At 38.0% G+C, this 19,578-nt stretch overlaps 1 protein-coding gene across 6 annotated transcripts in view; it reads left to right on the top strand.

Moving 5' to 3' along the window:
• The window catches only part of TLK1 (tousled like kinase 1), a 240,471-nt gene that overhangs the window by 145,376 nt on the left and 75,517 nt on the right, over window positions 1-19,578 (top strand). For 5 of the 6 annotated variants that reach the window (NM_001136554.2, XM_017005422.3, XM_011512238.4 and 2 more), the window contains one exon: window positions 3,066-3,137. In NM_001136554.2, the coding sequence (NP_001130026.1) occupies window positions 3,066-3,137 (72 nt within the window). Of the gene's footprint in view, window positions 1-3,065; window positions 3,138-18,944; window positions 19,077-19,578 lie in introns of those variants that run through there. The other variant, NM_001136555.2, reaches the window with a different exon arrangement.

Here is a 19,578-nt window from a genome sequence, read left to right as displayed (position 1 = left end):
GTATGCTTTCCATCCCCTAGTTTTAAAAATACTGTACTATTAACTTTGCATGCATTTAGTCATTAAATATTATATCCTCTCCCTTGTCATTATCATTTAATCTTGATCAACAATAAGTCATATTATTGCTTGCCTTCAGTTCTTAGACTGGTAAACTATTCATTTTGGTTGTCTTAAGCTTGTTCTGTAGTAGATTCTTTAGGAAGGGCTCATGGGAGCAGGGTTCCCTAATTGCTTGCATTTTTGGTAACCGTTTATCTATGCTTTCCATGTGTTTAAAATGGATTTTACTGAATATAAAACACTTTGCTTTTATTTTCTTTCCTTGAATAGCTTATGTCACTCCATTTTTGTCTGGCATAAAGTGTTTGCCTTTGATGTTCGCTTTCTGGGTTGTTATTCCTAGGTGTGCATGGTGCTCTGTCAGTAGTTTCAATTTTTTTAATTGAACATTTAAAAAACAACAACTGACAACAAGAGACTGACAACTGAAAATGTCAGAGACATTTTTTTTTCTTTTTTTTTTTGAGATGGAGTTTTGTTCTTGTTGCCCAGGCTGGAGTGCAATGGTGTGATCTTGGCTCGCTGCAACCTCTGCCTCCCAGATTCAAGTGATTCTCCTGCCTCAGCCTCCCAAGTATCTGGGAATTACAGGTGTGCACCATCACGCCTGGCTAATTTTGTATTTTTAGTAGAGACAGGGTTTCACCATGTTGGTCAGGCTGGTCTCGAACTCCTGACCTCAGGTGATCTGCCCGCCTCCGCCTCCCAAAGTGCTGGGATTACAGGCATGAGCCACTGTGCCCAGCCATCAGAGACATTTTCTTGAATTACAGTTTTTACTATTTTCTGGCTTTAGTAGTTTTTAGGGTCTTCTGTTATCTGTATATTGATCTTTGTTGCTTCATCATCAGCTGTAGCTTACTCTCAAATACTTTTCATCTCTTCATTTCTTTTGATTTCAAAAATGTCCCTGTTTTTTGCCTTCTGGTTATCTTAAAGCATTATCTACTGTATATATTTGCTCTTGGGTTCATTCAGATATACTTTTTATTTCTGAAACTTTTATTTTTAATGCTTTCTTGAGTTCTGTTACCTTATTTCCGAGTTTTTTGAAATCTGATTTATATAGTTGTTTCATGTCTTGAGTCCTTTTTGTAATATCTCTTAGTTCATTTTAAAATAGTAGGTTACAATTTTTACCTATTTTGTGGATGTGTGTTCCTGGTATGCTTTTATTATCTGGATGTTATTCTGTATCTTACTTTATTTTTTCTTATACCTTTATGACCTGCATAATTTTCTTTTGCCTACTTTCATGTGAAATTGGATTTCCTGAACACTTAAATGGTTGGTGTGGTTCAGGATGGCTTTTCTTACAGGGCTTTCTCTACTGCTGTTTTTAGGCACGCTTCAAAACTGTGGCATTTGCTTTCTGAGATTGCTAGGCTGTGTTCCCTCCCTTCTTTATCTGAATATTCTCTTTCCATTATTGTAATTGTACCTATATAGTACTCAATTTTCATTCCACACCCAGTAATTTGTACTCATTGTACCACCCTGTTATGTAAAGATCCGTTTCAAGGATTCGTGGAGGCTAGACTGCTCTCACTTTTTAAATGTAACCGTGGACTCCTCCCACTTAGTCACTAATTGAAAGTGCAAAACCCTTCTGTACTTAAGTTAACCTAGCTTCTGTACCTAACTTGTTGGCTGTTTTAGGTGTCTTTTGTTCTCGGTTATCAGACATCTGTTTCTTTCTGTTTCCTCCCATATTGATAATGATACCATACATTATCTATGGTTGTTGTTGACTTGTTTCCATCTGATGTTTTGAGGGGGATTCATGGAGATTCTTGTCACCTAGTTTTGTTGTAAATACAGTCTGTGGGTTTTTGGTTTACTATTTAGTTTTATACATTTTTTTGGTGGGTATTTACAGATGCTCAAACACTTTGCCACTGCCCTTATTGTCCCAGAATCTTTCTAATGTATTACTTCTTAATTGCTGCTGTTTCAAATTTGATAATCTTGCCATAATTAGATTATAACTTATTCCAAGTACTACTTGAATTGTAATTAGTTCAAGCGCTATCCTTTGTTGACAGCAGCTTTTACAGTATCCAGCATAGTACTGGGCATGTATGCAATGGCTCAGAGTTGTCACTTTGGAAATTAATCTAATTTCAATTATATAATTATAGTCTAACTGGCAACCTGTTAATAGTAGGATTAGCAGCCACTCCTGTTACAAGTGAGGTGAAACATGAGGATATCAATTGGCTTGCCTGTATGTAATGTTAATTCTTGCATCATCTTTGACATATATGCCATAATCTGTCAGCCACCTGGTCTAAGCATTTCTGGAAGACTATGATCTGATGTACTGATGGTACAAAAAAGTGCACAAGATAATAAGTATCATAGAAGCGTATTGGAAACAAAGCAGACATCATCCTACAGAATGTTAGCTCTTTCTTTGTTACAGTTCAAAAATATTGTCAAGGAAATGGAGAAATTCTTGAGCAAAGCAATTAATTAAAATGGTCGAGATGGTCAAAGATGTTTTTGAAGAGATAGAGTTAAAACAAATTTTAAAAAAAAGAAAAACAGGACAGTTTGTTAATACAGAGAAAGGCAAAGAGGTGTGTTTCAGACATGATGGAATTTGATAATTGTGAAGGGACCTGAAGAGCCCAAATAATACTTTCAGCCAAAGGTAGCATTAGTTTTTAATACATTGAGTAATAATTTTAGGGATCTTGTCATCCTAACAATGGCCCAGTTCCTTTGCTTTTGAACTGGGATTTAAAAAACCAGCTAATAGAAGTCAGTTCCTAAAACACAGCAGAACTTTATTGACTTGATAAAACTTTTCAAAGTATATAGTGTTAAGAATTTAGTATTTCTTATTTTTACCTCATTTGGCTTCCTTGTTTTAAGGAATTATACTTTATTTATTTATGAAGATAGATTATCTACTTTGTAATATGTTTGTTTAAAATTATTCCCGCTGCTTTAAAAAAATTACTCCTAATTTTTACCTTTTAAAAAATCTTTAACAGGCCTCAACAAATAACGAAAGCTCTAATCACAGTTTTGGAAGCTTGGGATCTTTAAGTGACAAAGAATCAGAGGTAAGTAATTTCATTTTAAATATGGTGCTATTAAAGTAAAAGCTGGAATCACCGTTTTAATTAGTATTTTGTTTCTTCATCAGTTCTTTTGCTAAAGGTTAATGCTTTTAAAGTTTCTTATAGGAATGTTTTGTTCTGCCTTATGAAGCACAACATTCAGATTGAAGACTGCATTTGGCATTAGAAAGAAAATATAATTTCTTTGGTTATGTAGCTGAACTTGTAAATGAATGATATGTATATATTCTTACTGGAGACAGTTATTAGCCATTCATAGTTCTGTGAGAGGAAGGAGGTTCTTAAGTATGTTGGGTTTCCCAGTTTTCTATTATTTCTCTTTATTCTTTCCTTTTAGTTTGATCCTTAGTAAGAGTTTGTGTACTTTCTGAGATACACATTTTTTCCCTCTTTTTAGAATTTCTTATGGAATCATGCTGCTGGTTTTCATTTTTCGTATTTTAAAAAATCTGAAGAATTCCCTCCCCTCTTAATCCCTCCCCCTTTTACCCACTTACTGATCCCACCAAGAAAATATCTGGGATTTTACAAGCAGGCATTTGGATCCATGGTATAATTTACCCTGAGCATGATATACTTGATGACATCTTTTAAAAATGGGTAGACAGGAAGTTCCGTGAGTTTTAGCATTCATTTGTTGATGTTACAGCTTGACTCTTGTGGGTATAGCCTTTTCTCTCCTTGGATGATAACAGGTCTGTCACTTGTGTGTGTGTGTGTGTGTGTGTGTGTATTTTTCCCGTCAGTCTTATTTCTACTTGATCCATTTTTGTCTTTTTTCTACTTGATTAGTATAGACTTTTTTCTACTTGGTTAGTATAGACCTATCAACTTGATAATACCAGTAGTTCATTAGCACTCAGAAACTCTTAGGCATTTTGTTTCACTGTTCAGAGGAAAGGGAACTTCAAAGGTGGCATCTTTTTAGCTCTGTGTTATTGAAAGCATCTAGAAATCTCTAGGTAGACAGTTTCGTGCAGTTCTGTGCAGGCACCCTGACACTACAAAGGAGTATGGCATAGGGCTCTCACTCATCAGGCTTTCCCTTCCACAGAAACAACTGGCAGGCAGCTGAAAGGACTGTGCAAGTGACGGGACTTTATCTGCAGTAGGTTCCCTTGAGGTAAGCGTTAGTAGCCCCTGTAGCATCAGATTATCAGTTTAGTTTTTAAAAAATTAACATACTTATACTAAGCCTTTGAAAATTGTAGGTTTAGCTCTAGTCAAAGTTTTTTAAAAAGTGTATCAAGAATGTTCTCACTTTATATTTCCTGGACTTTGGAACATTTCTTGATATTTTCCCAGAATTGGGAATATTTAGTAATTTCACCTGCCTCCTGTTTCATAGACATTTGTGTTATGAAGAGCAATAAAATAATGTTAGATATTTCTCTTTTCTGTTCACTAAATATGATATTTTTGATAGATTTTTTAAAAAAGCAAAACATGGTGAAAGTTAGATCACTTATCACAGTTATACATTCTTTATAGGTACCCATATTCCAAATATAAGTTATAGATTTAATATTTGGATTTTTTCAGAGGAATTAGTCTATAAGAGAATTCAGCTTCCCTTTAAAGATCCCAAGGATCACTTTTGGCTATATTTTTAGTTAAAACATGTTTTTGTTTCTTAAAAGACCATACTGGCATTTGAAATGAAACACAATTTGGTTAATCATTGGATATACTTAGCTTTATCTGTATTGAAGTTTTGACATTTGGGGCAGCAGTAGAAAATCTTGAAAAATCTTTTGGGCCATGTACGGGGGCTCACGCTTGTAATCCCAGCATGTTGGGAGGCCTAGGCAGGATTGCTTGAGACCAGGAGTTCGAGACCAGCCTGGGCAACATGGCAAAGCCCCATTTCTACAAGAAACACAAAAAGTTAGCTGGGTATGGTGCCACGTGGCTGTAGTCCCATCTACTCGAGAGGCTGAGGTGGGACAGTAACTTGAGCCAAGGAAGTCGAAGCTGCAATGAGCCATGATTGTGCCACTGCACTCCAGCCTGGGCAACAGAGTGAGACCCTGTCTTAAGAAAAAAAAAAAAAGAAAAATCTTTTGACTTTTGCTGTTCTGCATTCTCTGTCTTGGAGTTTTACAAATTAATGGTTAAGTCTAGTGGCACAGAAATGACTACAGATTATACATTGTCCTTAAGATTCAAAGAAATAATTACTATTACCATTATTATTATTATTATTATTATTATTATTTTAGTGTATCTTTCCATTTAAGGAGTTGCTTATCTGGAAAATGATTCCCAGGTTTTATCTGTATAGTTGATAATTAATGAATTCCTTTGGGGTGAAATTTTATATATATCAAAATACAGATATTTATAGATCATTAAGTAAACATGAGAAGAAACAGTTGCAGGATAGAAGTACTTTTGTTTTTCCTAGTACTCCTAGTAGTAAAGTTTATGAAGTATTTCATTGTCTTCTGATGTCACTATTCTTTTGGTAATCCATTCTCCAATTTACTACAGTTGTTAAAATAGTAGTTTTTGGTTTTGGGAGCAAATAGTACTGGAAGGTTTATTACTTTTTTTTTTTTTTTTTGAGATGGAGTCTCACTCTTTTGCCCGGGCTGGAGTGTAGTGGTGCGATCTCGTCTCACTGCAAACTCCGCCTCCCAGGTTCAAGCAATTTTCCTGCCTCAACCTCCTGAATAGCTGGGATTATAGGCGTAAGCCACCGTGCCCAGACAGTTTATTACTTTTTTTTTAAAAAAAATTGCTTTCTCCTACCACCCTTACCCCACCCTGGATTCCTGAAATTTATATCCATATTTTAATATAATTAATATGCATACCCTATTGTAGTTCACCAGTTGGACATTTTCTGTTGAATCCCTCTTAGGATTTGTGATGGTTTTAACTCACCACAATCCCTTTTCTGTACTTCGTTTTCTCCTACCCAGTACTCTTTTTCAGACATCCAGAATCCTCTTGTTTTCTTCTACCCTTACTATTAAAACTGGAAAGCATCCAATTGTCATTGTTAAGTTGATTAATCTACTTCAAGTGAAATTTTTATTTCAGTTTGTATGCGGTTTATTTTATATATGAATCTTTTTTTCTAAATGTGGAATTAAATAGAATGAAAAAGTTTTTCCTCTCGTAAATAAAAGAAGATGGTAGGTAAGAAGGTATTGTTTTGATTTTGTTTTATTTTACATCACTCCTGGTCCATTCAGCAGGCTCCAAAAAATTCAGGATATTTTCAGTAAACATTTATTGCATATCTATTAACTTTTAGTCTCTGCCCAATCACAGAGAATATAAAGATGAATAGGATACAATCCCTGCCTTCAAATGAAATCAGTGTTTAGTAGAACAAACATTTAGACAGTCTGCCTCATGACAGTGTAGGCTGTGCTGTAACAGATAGAAGCACAAGATGCTATGGAAGCAAAGCGCAAGAAACCACCAATTCCATTTGCCTGTAGGGGAAAGGAAGCAAAGAGGTCTTCCTTCAAAGAAGAGATGATAGTCGAGTTTTTAAGAGAGGCTGTGAATTCATCCCATAAGACAGAGTGAAGTATGAAAAGAAGGTATACAGAGGGACTAGGATATGTGTTTGCTTTTATGTGGGAGTATGACAAGTCGTTTGGTTTAAGAGAGGACAGTGATTCTCAGCCACTACTGCTCTTTAGATCTCCGGAAAAGCTTTAAAAAATACCCAGCTGCTTCAGTGATTCCACTGGTTTTCAAACTTCTGGTAGAGGGACTATATGCAGGAATGGTGAAAGGTAGGCAGGGGTCAGGTTTGAAGACCCTTGTATTTCATAGTAAAGAATTTGGACTTCAGGTAGAGAGCCATTGAAACAGGGGAAACAAAAGACAAAGTAGAGGTGAAAGGCTCCCACAGATGGAATGTAGAGGATTGCGTTGGAGGGACATGAAACCCAAGTTAGGAAGATCACTTAATTAAGGAATACAGCCTTCTTTATAAAACTCTATAACCTTCAAGGTTTAATATTAGGAGGAAAAACTTGAGATAAGAGGACTTCTAACTAGTATTTTCAAGTTTGCTGTTTGGGCTCTGCCTTTTTCAGATTCTCTAACTTTGGTTACTGAGACTATCACCACCCAAGGCTGTGGTTCTCAAACTGTTCTGTGCGAATGAATCACTTAATGTTTATGACGGTAGGTCTGGGGTAGAATTTTGCATTTCCAACAAGCTTCTAGATTTCATTAGATTTTTTTTTTTTCTTTTTGAGACGGAGTCTCGCCTGTTGCCCAGGCTGGAGTGCAGTGGCGTGATCTCAGCTCACCACAACCTCCGCCTCCCAGGTTCAAGCGATTCTCCTGCCTCAGCCTCCCAAGTAGCTGAGACTACAGGTGTGCGCCACCATGCCCGGCTAATTTTTGTATTTTTAGTAGAGACGGGGTTTCACTATGTTGGCCAGGCTGGTCTCAAACTCCTGACCTCATAATCTGCCTGCCTTGGCCTTCCAAAGTGCTGGGATTACAGGTGTGAGCCACCAAGCCCAGCAGATTTCATTAGATTTTTAAAAAGTAGAATCAGTAGGGTTTGATGACTTGGAATTAGCATAAAGAAGGAAAGGGAGGAGCCTAAGATGATTCAAAGGGATCTAGCTAGAGTGCCTTTGATTGAGATGGGCATCACAGAAGGAAGATAACAAGTGTAGATGGCACAGTAGAAGATATCTGGAATTCAGGAAAGAGGTCAGGCTACATAAGAAGACCTAGGGGTCTTTGGCATAGGTGTTAATTAAAAAGGCTTGGTTGTAGATAAGCAGATCTCAGAGTATGGTTTGAGGATTTCTAGGGGTCCCCTGCGATTCTTCCAAGGAGTCCACAAAGTCAAGTGTTTTTTATAAAAGCGCCAACACATTATTTGACTTTTTAACTTTCATTAGCTCATGAATTCACAATGAAAATTTCCAGAAGCTGTATAACGTGATATCATCACTCTGATTTATTCATTTGTATTCTTTTACACTTGTATATTCTATTGTTATAATGTTTTTGTTTAAAATCCTAAAATAGTAAATATCGATAGTTATACACATGTAAATAAAAGCTCTTTGGGGTCCTTAACAATTTTTTAAAAGTTACAGAGGGATCCTGAGACCCAAAAGTGATAGTAAGTGGAATTAAATGTCATAGAAGTCATTTAAGATAGGGACTGTAAAAAGTGACTAAGAATTTGACACTTAGACTTAATTTTAGTAGATTAATGGGAACAAAATGCCAGATTGTAGTTAATTGAGGAGAAATTAGAAAGTGAGGAAATAGCGACAGCAAATATTGACTGCTTTTGGCAGAACCTTGACTATGAAGGAAGGGAGACAGTATCTAGAGTCAGACAGGCTTGACATATCATGTGCTAAGGAAAGAGTCATAGCAGAGCTGTGATGGAGACAAAGTGCTGAAGAGAGAGGGAAAAGAGAAATAAAACCACACATCTTTTCCTGGAGGAGGAATGAATGGGTGAAATCCAGACCCTGGTTGGGCAGGGTTATTCATAGACAGGACTAGGAACATCTTTCCCCTGAATTGGGGTAGATGAACTTGCATATCTGATAACTTTTTCTCTTACTTCACAGTGAAAATAGGTTATCAGCTGAAAGGAAAGAAGCGTGAGTGGGTTGTGGATTTGAGGACTGATAAAAATTTTATCAGAGGACCAGAGAAGAGAGTTTACCAGGGCCACTCATCCTTTATTTAAATTTTTTAGAATACCTGAAGGAGTTAGAAATATGGTCATGTACCTGACCTGCTGGCTAACAGCCCACATTATTTTATGAAGATAAGAGCCCGTGTTTCTTGAGTACCAGTGTTTCTTTTTTCTTTCTTTCTTTCTTTCTTTTTTTTGAGACAGAGTCTCACTCGTTGCCTAGGCTGGAGTGCAGTGGCGCCATCTCGGCTCACTGCAAGCTCTGCCTCCCGGGTTCACGCCATTCTCCTGCCTCAGCCTCCTGAGTAGCTGGGACTACAAGCGCCCACCACCACGCCTGGCTGATTTTTTTGTATTTTTTTTTTTTTTTTTTTAGTAGAGATGGAGTTTCACCGTGTTAGTCAGGATGCTCTTGATCTCCTGACCTTGTGATCCGCCCGCCTCGGCCTCCCAAAGTGCTGAGGTTACAGGTGTGAGCCACCACGTCCTGCTCAGTGTTTTCTAAGTTTTAAAACCTGCCTTGATCCACCCATTTGCAGTTCTTCTTGTAGCACTTTCACTATCTAAACACAATGATCTTGTGTCTCAGTTCATTTTCTGCTGCTCTAACAGAATATCACAGACTGGGCAATTTATAATGAACAGAAGTTTATTTGGCTCTTGGGTCCAGAGGCTAGGAAGTCCAAGAGCATGGTGTCAAGCATCAGGTGAGGATCATCACCCCGTGGTAGAAGATGGAAGGCAGAAGTGAGCGTGTGAGACAGAGAGGGAGAATTGGACTCAACTCATCCTTTTAATCAGGAACCCACTCTGTCAGTAACGAACCCATCCCCACAATAATGGCATTAATCCATTCATGAGGCCCCTACCTCTTTTTCTCCCCCCGCCCTCCGAGATGGAGTTTTGCTCTGTTGCTCAGGCTGGAGTGCAGTGGCATGATCTTGGCTCACTGCAACTTCCCCCTCCTGGGTTCAAGCGAGTCTCCTCCTTCAGCCCCCTGAGTAGCTGGGATTACAGGCACCCGCCACCATGGCTGGCTAAGTTTTATATTTTTAGTGGAGACAGGGTTTCACCATGTTAGCCAGGCTGGTCTTGAACTCCTGACCGCAAGTGACCTGCCCACTTCATCCTCCCAAAGTGCTGGGATTACAGGCAAGAGCCACCGCACCTGCCTCCCTCCCACCTCTTAATATTCTTACTACGGGGAGTAAGTTTCTACGTGAACTTCAGGGCACATAGTCAAACCATAGCACCTTCAGATTCTGTACAGTTGCTGTCTATACCTAAGCCCAAGATGCTAAGTTAGATTATGTATCTTCTAGCTCATTTGGAATTCTTAATGATTATTAAAAGCATAACCATTTTTCCTCTTCTCGTTTTGGATGCCCTAGGATACATTTATCTGCTTTATTTATTTCTTACTGAAGTTGGGATATTTGTGACTGAACATATCATTTAATTACATCATTTTTAATAATTAATGTTGGAGAAGCACAGTTATGTCTGTTTATACGTGTGCTTATATACAATATACTCCATAATATTCATGTTTATAAAGCAGACATATATCAAATTATTCTGTTTTTCTCAATTTAATCCTTAATATTCATCTTTCAGAATACTTTTGTATAATCTCAATCAAATTTGAACAAGTTAAAATATATACTATCTCTATAACCAAAGTAGTTTTCCACCATTTTTCATGGGTAACTACCAAGTCTTAAGCCTTTATCCACTGACCTTAAATTACTGTGTATTTTTCATCAAAGTATATTTTGGGATTTTCGAGTTATTAATTTTAAATTATATGGATATGTGGAAGCTGGGACAGTTGTTGCATCTAGAGCATTTCCTGATTTAACCTTGTTTTATATACATACCCACCTCTACTTTCTCATACCTTCTTTTTTGCCCTCTTAATGCTTAGTGCTTAGCTAGTGCTTAGTGTATTCTAAGCACTAGTGCTTAGCTATGATTCTATTTGAAAACAGAGGTAATACTGGCCTTAAGTTTTGTTAACATTTTCATTAAATTTTAATTTATCTATATTTATTTACTGTGACCTGGAGAAATCTTTTTTTTTTTAATGCCTTACTCTGAGTACCTAGTAAGAAAGAAGAGAGACTTTAAAAATCGATTTACTGTTGGATGGGATAAGTATCACTGAAAGTTACATTTTTAGGCCTTTTACTCCTGAATAAATTACCTTGCTTTTGACTAACTCTCTTTAAATCTGTTCTCCTCCTTAAGATGTTAGACACCTATCATCAATTTTAAGACATATTCTATCTTGCTGTCTAAATTATTTTCTAAAATATGTTAGTGTGATAAATGATGTTTGTGGTGTTCTACTTGTTGACCTCCTCTGTCTTTTATTTATCTTCCTGCTAGTATGTTCTCACTTTGTTCTTACCAGAAATCTTACTATTTTTATGTCATTGGTTTTTTCTTCTTTCTTTCTTTCTTTTTTTTTTTTTTTTTTTGAGGCAGAGTCTCGCTCTGTCACGCAGGTTGGAGTGCAATGGCACGATCTCTGCTCCCTGCAACCACTGCCTTCTGGGCTCAGCAATTCTCTGGCCTCAGCCTCCCAAGTAGCTGGGATTGTAGGCACCCACCAGCTTGCCTGGTTAGTTTTTGTATTTTCAGTAGAGACAAGGTTTCACCACATTGGCCAGGCTGATTTCAAACTCCTGACCTCAAATGATCTGCCTGCATCGGCCTCCGAAAGTGCTGGGATTACAGGCATGAGCCACTACACCTCCACCTCCAGCCTATGTCATTGTTTTTACTGAGGCATGATATGCAACAATGTTGCTGTATACAATGAACAAATATGTACAGTAATGATGTCTTGAAAGCAAGTACTCTTTGTACACATGGAAAATAGTATTATTTTGTAACATAAAAAATGGGGAATGTGGCCGGGAGGGGCGGCTCATGCCTGTAATCCCAGCAGTTTGGAAGACTGAGGCAAGCAGATCACCTGAGGTCAGGAGTTCGAGACCAGCCTGGCCAACAGGGTGGAACCCCATCTCTACTAAAAATACAAAAATTAGCTGGTCGTGGTGGCACATGCCTGTAATACCAGCTACTCAGGAGGCTGAGACAGGAGAATCGCTTGAACCTAGGAGGCCAAGGTTGCAGTGAGCCGAGATTGCACCACTGCACTCCAGCCTGGGTGACACAGCAAGACTCCATCTCAAAAAAAAGAAAGAAAAAAAAAGGAGGGGGGGGGGGAATGTTAAGTTTATTCTCTTCTCTGTTATTAAGACAAATAATCATGAATTATTAGACTTAAAAGTTCCTGTGAAACACCTGAAATTACTTTGTAACTTTTTTTTTTTAAAGAGAAAACAGTATTTAATTCACCACTATATATTGAAGGACACAGTCTTTTAGAGACCTATATTCAGGCAGAAATTAGAGTATCTGACACTAAAATATATTGTATTAACCGGGTTCATAGCAAAGGAAGTGAGTCCTGCTTGAATATGTTCATGCTTATTAGTCTCTTGGAAGGAAAAGTGAACTGGAAACCAAATGTGAGTCTCATCCTGGCTGTATACATCTGTTTCCATAAAGGTAGAAGAATATGTATATCAGAATTCTTCAGGAAGCTTTTTTTAATGTTTGAGTAGCCAGGCTCCCTGCTTGGAAATTCTGATATATTCTGTCTAGTTGAGTTCTTGTAGGTCATGAAATCATGAAATGGATCTGTAAGCTATTTAGCAAGCAAACAAACAGCTGTTAAATGTTACCCTTTAAAAAAGTATATTCGATGTGGTTCAGTGGTTGTTTGTTACAGCAAGAAATTTCTAAGGGAACACAACAAGAGTGCCCACCTTCACCACTTATTCAGTATAGAATGGGAAGTCCTCGCTAGAGCAGTCAGACAAGGGAAAGAAGTAAAGGGCATCCAAATTGGAAAGGAAGAAGTCAAATTATCCTTGTTTGCAGATTATATAATCTTATATTTGGAAAAACCTAAAGACTGTACCAAAAAATTATTAGAACTGATAAATTCAGTAAAGTTGCAGGATACAAAATCAATATTAAAAAAGTAGCATTTCTATATGCTAACAGTGAACAATCTGAAAAAGAAACCAAGAAAGTAATCCCATTTGCAATAGCTATAAATACTATGAAATATGTAGACATTAATCTTTTTTTTTTTTTTTTTCGAGACAGAGTCTTGCTCTGTTGCCCAGGCTGGAGTGCACTGGCACAATCTCAGCTCACTGCAACCACCACCTCCCCGGTTCAAGCAATTCTCCTGCCTCAGCCTTCTGAGTAGCTGGGATTACAGGAGCGAACCACTGCACCCAACATTTTTTTTTCTTTGAGATGGAGTTTTTGTTCTGTTGCCCAGGCTGGAGTGTAATGATGTCATCTCAGCTCACTGCACCCTCCGCCTCCTGAGCTCAAGTGATTCTCCTGCCTCAGCCTCCCCAGTAGCTGGGATTACAGGCGCCCACCACCACGCTTGGCTAATATTTTTTTTTAAATGTATTTTTAGTAGAAATGGGGTTTCACCATGTTGGCCAGGCTGGCCTCAAACTCTTGACCTCAGGTGATCCACCAACCTTGGCCTCCCAAAGTGCTAGAATTACAGGTGTGAGCCACTGCACCCGGCCTACCCAGCTAATTTTTTTGTACTTTTAGTAGAGATGGGGTTTCACCATGTTGGCCAGGCTGGTCGAACTTCTGACCTCAAGTGATCCGCCCCCCTTGGCCTCTCAAAGTGCTGAGATTATGGGCGTGAGCCACCGCACCCAGCTTTTAGACATTACTCAAAGTAGTAAAATATCTCTACAATAAAAACTATAAAACATTGATGCAAGAAATTGAAGAGTATGCAAAAAAATGGAAGGATATTCCATGGTCATGGAATGGAAGCATCAATACTTTTAAAATGTCCATTGTACCCAGAGCAATCTATAGGTTTAATGTAATCCCTGTCAAAATACCAATGGCATTCTTCACAGAAATAGAAAAAATAATTCTAAAATTTGTATAGAACCACAAAAGACCCAGAATAGCCAGAGCTATCCTGAGCAAAGAACAAAACCAGACGAATCACATTACCTGACTTCAAATTATACTACAAAGCTATAGTAATCAAAACAGCATTGTACTGGCATAAAAACAGACACATAGATCAGTGAAACACATAGACCAGTGGAACAGAACAGAGAATCCAGATAGCAATCCATATATCTACAGTGAAGTTGTTTTTGACAAAGGTGCCAAGAACAAACATTGGGGAAAGGACAGTCTGTTCAATAAATGGTGCAGGGAAAACTGGATATTCATATGCAGAAGAATGAAACTAGATCCCCTATCTCTCACCATATACAAAAATCAAATCAAAATGGGTTAAAGACTGAAATCTAAAAAGACCTCAAACTGTGAAACTACTATAAGAAAACACTGGGGAAACTCTCCAGGACATTGGTCTGGGCAAAGATTTCTTAAGTAATACCCGACAAGCACAGGCAACCAAAGGTAAAAATGGACAAATGGGGTCAGGCGTGGTGGCTCACACCTGTAATCCCAGCACTGTGGGAGGCAGAGGCAGGCAGATCACTATGTCAGGAGATGGAGACCATCTTGGCTAACACAGTGAAACCCCGTCTCTACTAAAAATACAAAAAATTAGCTGGACATGGTGGCAGGTGCCTGTAGTCCCAGCTACTCGGGAGGCTGAGGCGGGAGAATGGCGTGAACCCGGGAGGCAGAGCTTGCAGTGAGCTGAGATCACGCCACTGCACTCCAGCCTGGGCGACAGAGCGAGACTCCATGTCAAAAAAAAAAAGGACAAATGGGATCACATCAAATTAAAAAGCTTCTGCACAGCAAAGAAAACAATCAACAAAGCGAGGAGATAACCCACAGAGTAGGAGAAAATATTTGCAAACTATCCATCTGACAAGGAATAAATAACTAGAATATATGAGGAGCTCAAACAACTCTGTAGGAAAACATATGATAATCCAATCTAAAAATGGGCAAAAGATTTGAAGAGACATTTCTCAAAAGAAGACATACAAATGGCAAACAACTTGATGAAAAGGTGCCCAATATCATTGTTTATCAGAGACATGCAAATCAAAATTACAATGAGATATCATCTCACCCCAGTTAAAATGGCTTTTATCCAGAAGGCAGGCAATGACAAATGCTGGCAAGGATGTGGAGAAAAGGGAAACCTCATACACTGTTGGTAGAAGTGAAGATTAGTACAACCACTATGAAGAACAGTTCGGAGGTTCCTCAAAAGGCTGAAAATAGAGCTACCGTGCGATCCAGCAATTCCACTGCTAGATATATACCCAAAATAAAAGAAATTGATATATCAAAGAGATACCTGCACTCCCATTTTGCAGCACTATTCACAATAGCCAAGATTTGTAAGCAACCCAAGCATCCATCAACAGATGAATGGATAAAGAAAATGTGGTACATACGCACAGTGGAGTACTATTCAGCCATAAGAAAGAATGCAATCTGTCATTTGCAACAACATGGATGGAACTGGAGGTCATATTGTTGAGTGAAATAAGCCAGGCACAGAAAGACAAACTTCACATGTTCTCACTTATTTGTGGGAGCTAAAAATTAAGACAATGCAACTTATGGGGAAAGAGGGTAAAAAGATGGTTACTAGAGTCTGGGAAGAGTGGTGGTGGTGGGGAGGGGGAATGGTTAATGGGTACAAAAATAGAAAGACTTAGTAAGACCTAGTATTTGCTAGCACAACAGAGTGTGTATAGTCAAACATAATTTAATTGTATATTTAAAAAAAAACTATAAGTGGATTGTTTGTAACACCTTTGTGTTACAGTTGTTTGTAACAACTGTATCAAAATATGTACCCCATAAATATATACACCTACTGTGTACCCACAATGATTAAAAAAAAAAAATTTAAAAAGGAACCTTCTAAGCTGATTGGTGGAAACAAGATTGGAAGAGAAAAATGGCCTATTACTGTAAGAGAGTGAAGATATTTTTTTAAAGTGGAACCCAGTATAGTTCTTTACCATAATAGGTGCTCAGTAAATAGCTGTTGTCTACCCACCTCGTTAATAGGCTACTACTTATTCTCTAGCATACTCATCTCACTTGCTAGCATTTCCTAGTATACAATCAGGATGAGTGTATCTACAAAAGCAGTTTTCAAATTTTGGGTCTCAGGGACTGCTCTTTAACTTTAAAAATTGAAGGACCCTAAAGAGCTTTTGTTTATGTTGGTTACAACTATTTGGTATTTACCATTTTAGGATTTCAAACAAAATGTTGTAACCCTAGAATTCACGAATACATAATCCATAAATCATCCAGTGAGATGTCGTCACATGTCATATAGCCTCTGGTAATTTTCACTGTAAACTCAGAATGAAAGTAAAAAAGCACACCGTACAGTTAGTTTTATGTACCAACTACAAATGATTCTTAATGTGTTCATCAAAGCAAGGTTTCTCACCCTTAACATTATTGACGTTTTGCACTGGATAAATTTTGAGGGGTGGGGTTCCTGTCCTATGCAATGTAGGATGTTTAGCAGCATCTCTGCCTCTGTACATTAGATATCTACAGCCTTGTTACCGCCATCCTCAGTGCGTCAACCAAAAATGCCTCTAGGTATTGCCAAATACCATCTCTCCTGGTTGAGAACCAACTCATTACTGGAAGGAGAAAAAAGAAAGTTTTTAGCCTGTTACCAATGGAGCTAGATTGCGACTTCTTAAGTTTTACATGTCTAAATTTAGAAACCGGTGCTCAGAGTAAATAATTTGTCCATAGTCACACAGATACAAGTTAACAGAGTCAGAATTTCATTCCCAAAGTATGCCTTATTTCAAAGTGATGCTCTCAACTACTGTGCTATTATAATCTTTCCATATAACTAAGATAGTATATAACTTGTTATATAAATTACCCTGGTAAGTCTTGGACAAAAATGGTACTCTTTGGAAATATTTAGATTTCAGATAACTTACAGTAATTATCAAATTTGCCAATCTAAGATATACCTGAGCTAACAGCACTTCACAAATGTTTAATCTGATAAATGTTGCTTTTAGACTGGATTTTTAAAGCATTGAGCACAAGTTGACATTACTGACAAATTTTGTTTCAGAATTTTATTCTTTAGTTTAAAAAATATTAGAAAGATGTATTTTTATGTCAGTAGAACACAGTGAATTTTCTTTAAGATTCTCATTTTTCTAAAATAACTGAGTAACCATGACAACCCATTTGACTTTTTATAACCTAATTAGTTTTCTGCTATATGTAATAATTTTGGTCTTTAATATGGGAAGACTTTAAGGAATAACATTCTTAATTTTAGAGATACTGTAAAGTGGAGTATGTGGGAACTATACAACGTACTATTTTATATATAAACCTAGATAGACAGACAGACTGTTCCTAATCCTGATGATACATAACATCACTTCTGGACCTTTTTAAAATTAATGATTCCTTTGGTCTTTTTCCAGAGATGGTTAAATTTGGACTGGAGATTCCAGCATAAGCTTTAAATAAAAGCTTTATAAATGATTGATGTATAGTCAGCATTGAGAATCAATGCTAATAAAGATATGATAGAGCAATTTAAAAAAAGAACAAAGAAACTGGGTATGGTCACATGTCTGTAGTCCCAGGTACTTGGGAGCCTGAGGCAGGAGGATCACTTGAACCTAGGAGTTACAGTCCAGCCTGGACAATGAAGCGAGACCCCATCTTTCTTTTTTTTGTTTGTTTTTGTTTTTGAGGCGGAGTTTTGCTCTTGTTGCCCAGGCTGGAGTGCAATGGCGCGATCTTGGCTCACTGCAACCTCTGCCTCCCAGATACAAGCAATTTTCCCGCCTCAACCTCCCGAGTAGTTGGGACTACAGGTGCTCACCACCAGATCTGGCTAATTTTTTTGTATTTTTAGTAGAGGTGGGGTTTCGCCATGTTGGCCAGGCTGGTCTCGAACTCCTGACCTCAGGTGATCCACCCACCTTGGCCTCCCAAAGTGCTAGAATTACAGGCTTGAGCCACCATGCCCGGCTGATCCCATGTCTCAGGAAAAAAAGATCACTTTTTTTCTGATTAAAAGTGTTGTATTGGCACCACGGAATACTATGCAGCCATAAAAAAGGATGAGTTCATGTCCTTTGCAGGGACATGGATGAAGCTGGAAACCATCATTCTCAGCAAACTAACACAAGAACAGAAGACCAAACACCATATGTTCTTACTCTTAAGTGGGAGTTGAACAGTGAGAACACATGGACACGGGGCAGGGCGGTTGGGGGGACTTCACATAACAGGGCCTGTTTTGAGGTGGGGGCTGAGGGAGGGATAGCATAAGGAGAAATACCTGATGTAGATGACAGGTTGATGGTTATAGCAAACCACCTTGGCACGTGTATACCTATGTAACAAACTTGTACGTTCTGCACATGTACCTCAGAACTTAAAGTATAATAATAAAAAAAAAGTTGTATTGGTATAGAGAAAAATAGTAACACTTTTTTACCCATCACATCTCAAAGGATTGGTGAGTAGTCTTATACAGTGTTAATGTAAACATGTCAATTGATACTGGCTTTGAATGTGCAATTTGGCATTATCTTTAAAAATCTAAGTGTGTGGCCGGGCGTGGTGGCTCATGCCTGTAGTCCCAGCACTTTGGGAGGCCGAGGCGGGTGGATCACAAGGTCAAGAGATCGAGACCATCCTGGCCAACATGGAGAAACCCCATCTCTACTAAAAATACAAAAAAAACAAGCTGGGTGTGGTGGCGGGTGCCTGTAGTCCCAGCTACTCGGGAGGCTGAGGCAGGAGAATAGCATGAACCCAGGAGACAGAGCTTGCAGTGAGCCGAGATCGTGTCACTGCACTCCAGCCTGGGTGACAGTGTGAGACTCTGTCTCAGAAAAAAAAAAAAAAACCTAAGTGCACATATTCTGTGATACAGCATTTACATTTAAAAGTATGTATACCAGAGAAATAATTGTACAGACCTAGGGATTCGTGTTCAAAGGAATGTTTGTAGGGGTATGATACAGGAGTATGTTACTCCATTGTGAGTGTCACAATGGGTCAAAAGTTGTGAGACCACAGCTCTGAATTTGACTATTACAAGCACTTTCAAAATGCCAACATTTCCAGAATAAATTATCTGAAAGTGTTACTTCCCAACCCCCACCCTTCAGCAGTTGTTCTAAATGGCTGTTTTATTCTTGTATGATTTGAAAACTACTGGCAAGGTAATTTGAGTAGGGGAGAAAGTTCAACTTTATTCTAATTTTATAGTATATACTGTTTAACAAATAAAGCCTTAAAGGGATAGCCAGAGAAGGGAAAGTGCCAGGAAATAGACTACGTAAGTGATAAGAAAATAACAGACAAAATCATTTTCATCAATATTAAAAACTTAGTATACTCCTTTAAACATGTGTGAATGCAGTGGGTCCAAGTGATAGGAGTTTAAGAAGTCACAATGTGAGGATGTCAAGTTAGGTAGTTGTTAAAAATTGAGCATAAAATAATTGTTTTAATATTACATTTCTTTGGAGTACTGATACGGTTGTGAATGCTGTGCATGTGTAAATAGAGTCCTTCAGCCTTTACAAAAATGTATGAGGTGGCATACTTTAAGTATACCTGTAAGACAGCACATATTTTAGTTGGGTGGTTACCCAATTTCTTCTTACTGGTGTTCTACCATCTTTTATATTACACGTTATTAAACAATAAAGGCAGTACAGC

Source organism: Homo sapiens, chromosome 2, assembly GCF_000001405.40.
Source record: "Homo sapiens chromosome 2, GRCh38.p14 Primary Assembly".
Lineage (NCBI taxonomy): Eukaryota > Metazoa > Chordata > Mammalia > Primates > Hominidae > Homo > Homo sapiens.
The sequence above is the reverse complement of the archived record's forward strand: the minus strand, read 5'-3'. Positions and strand labels throughout refer to the sequence as shown.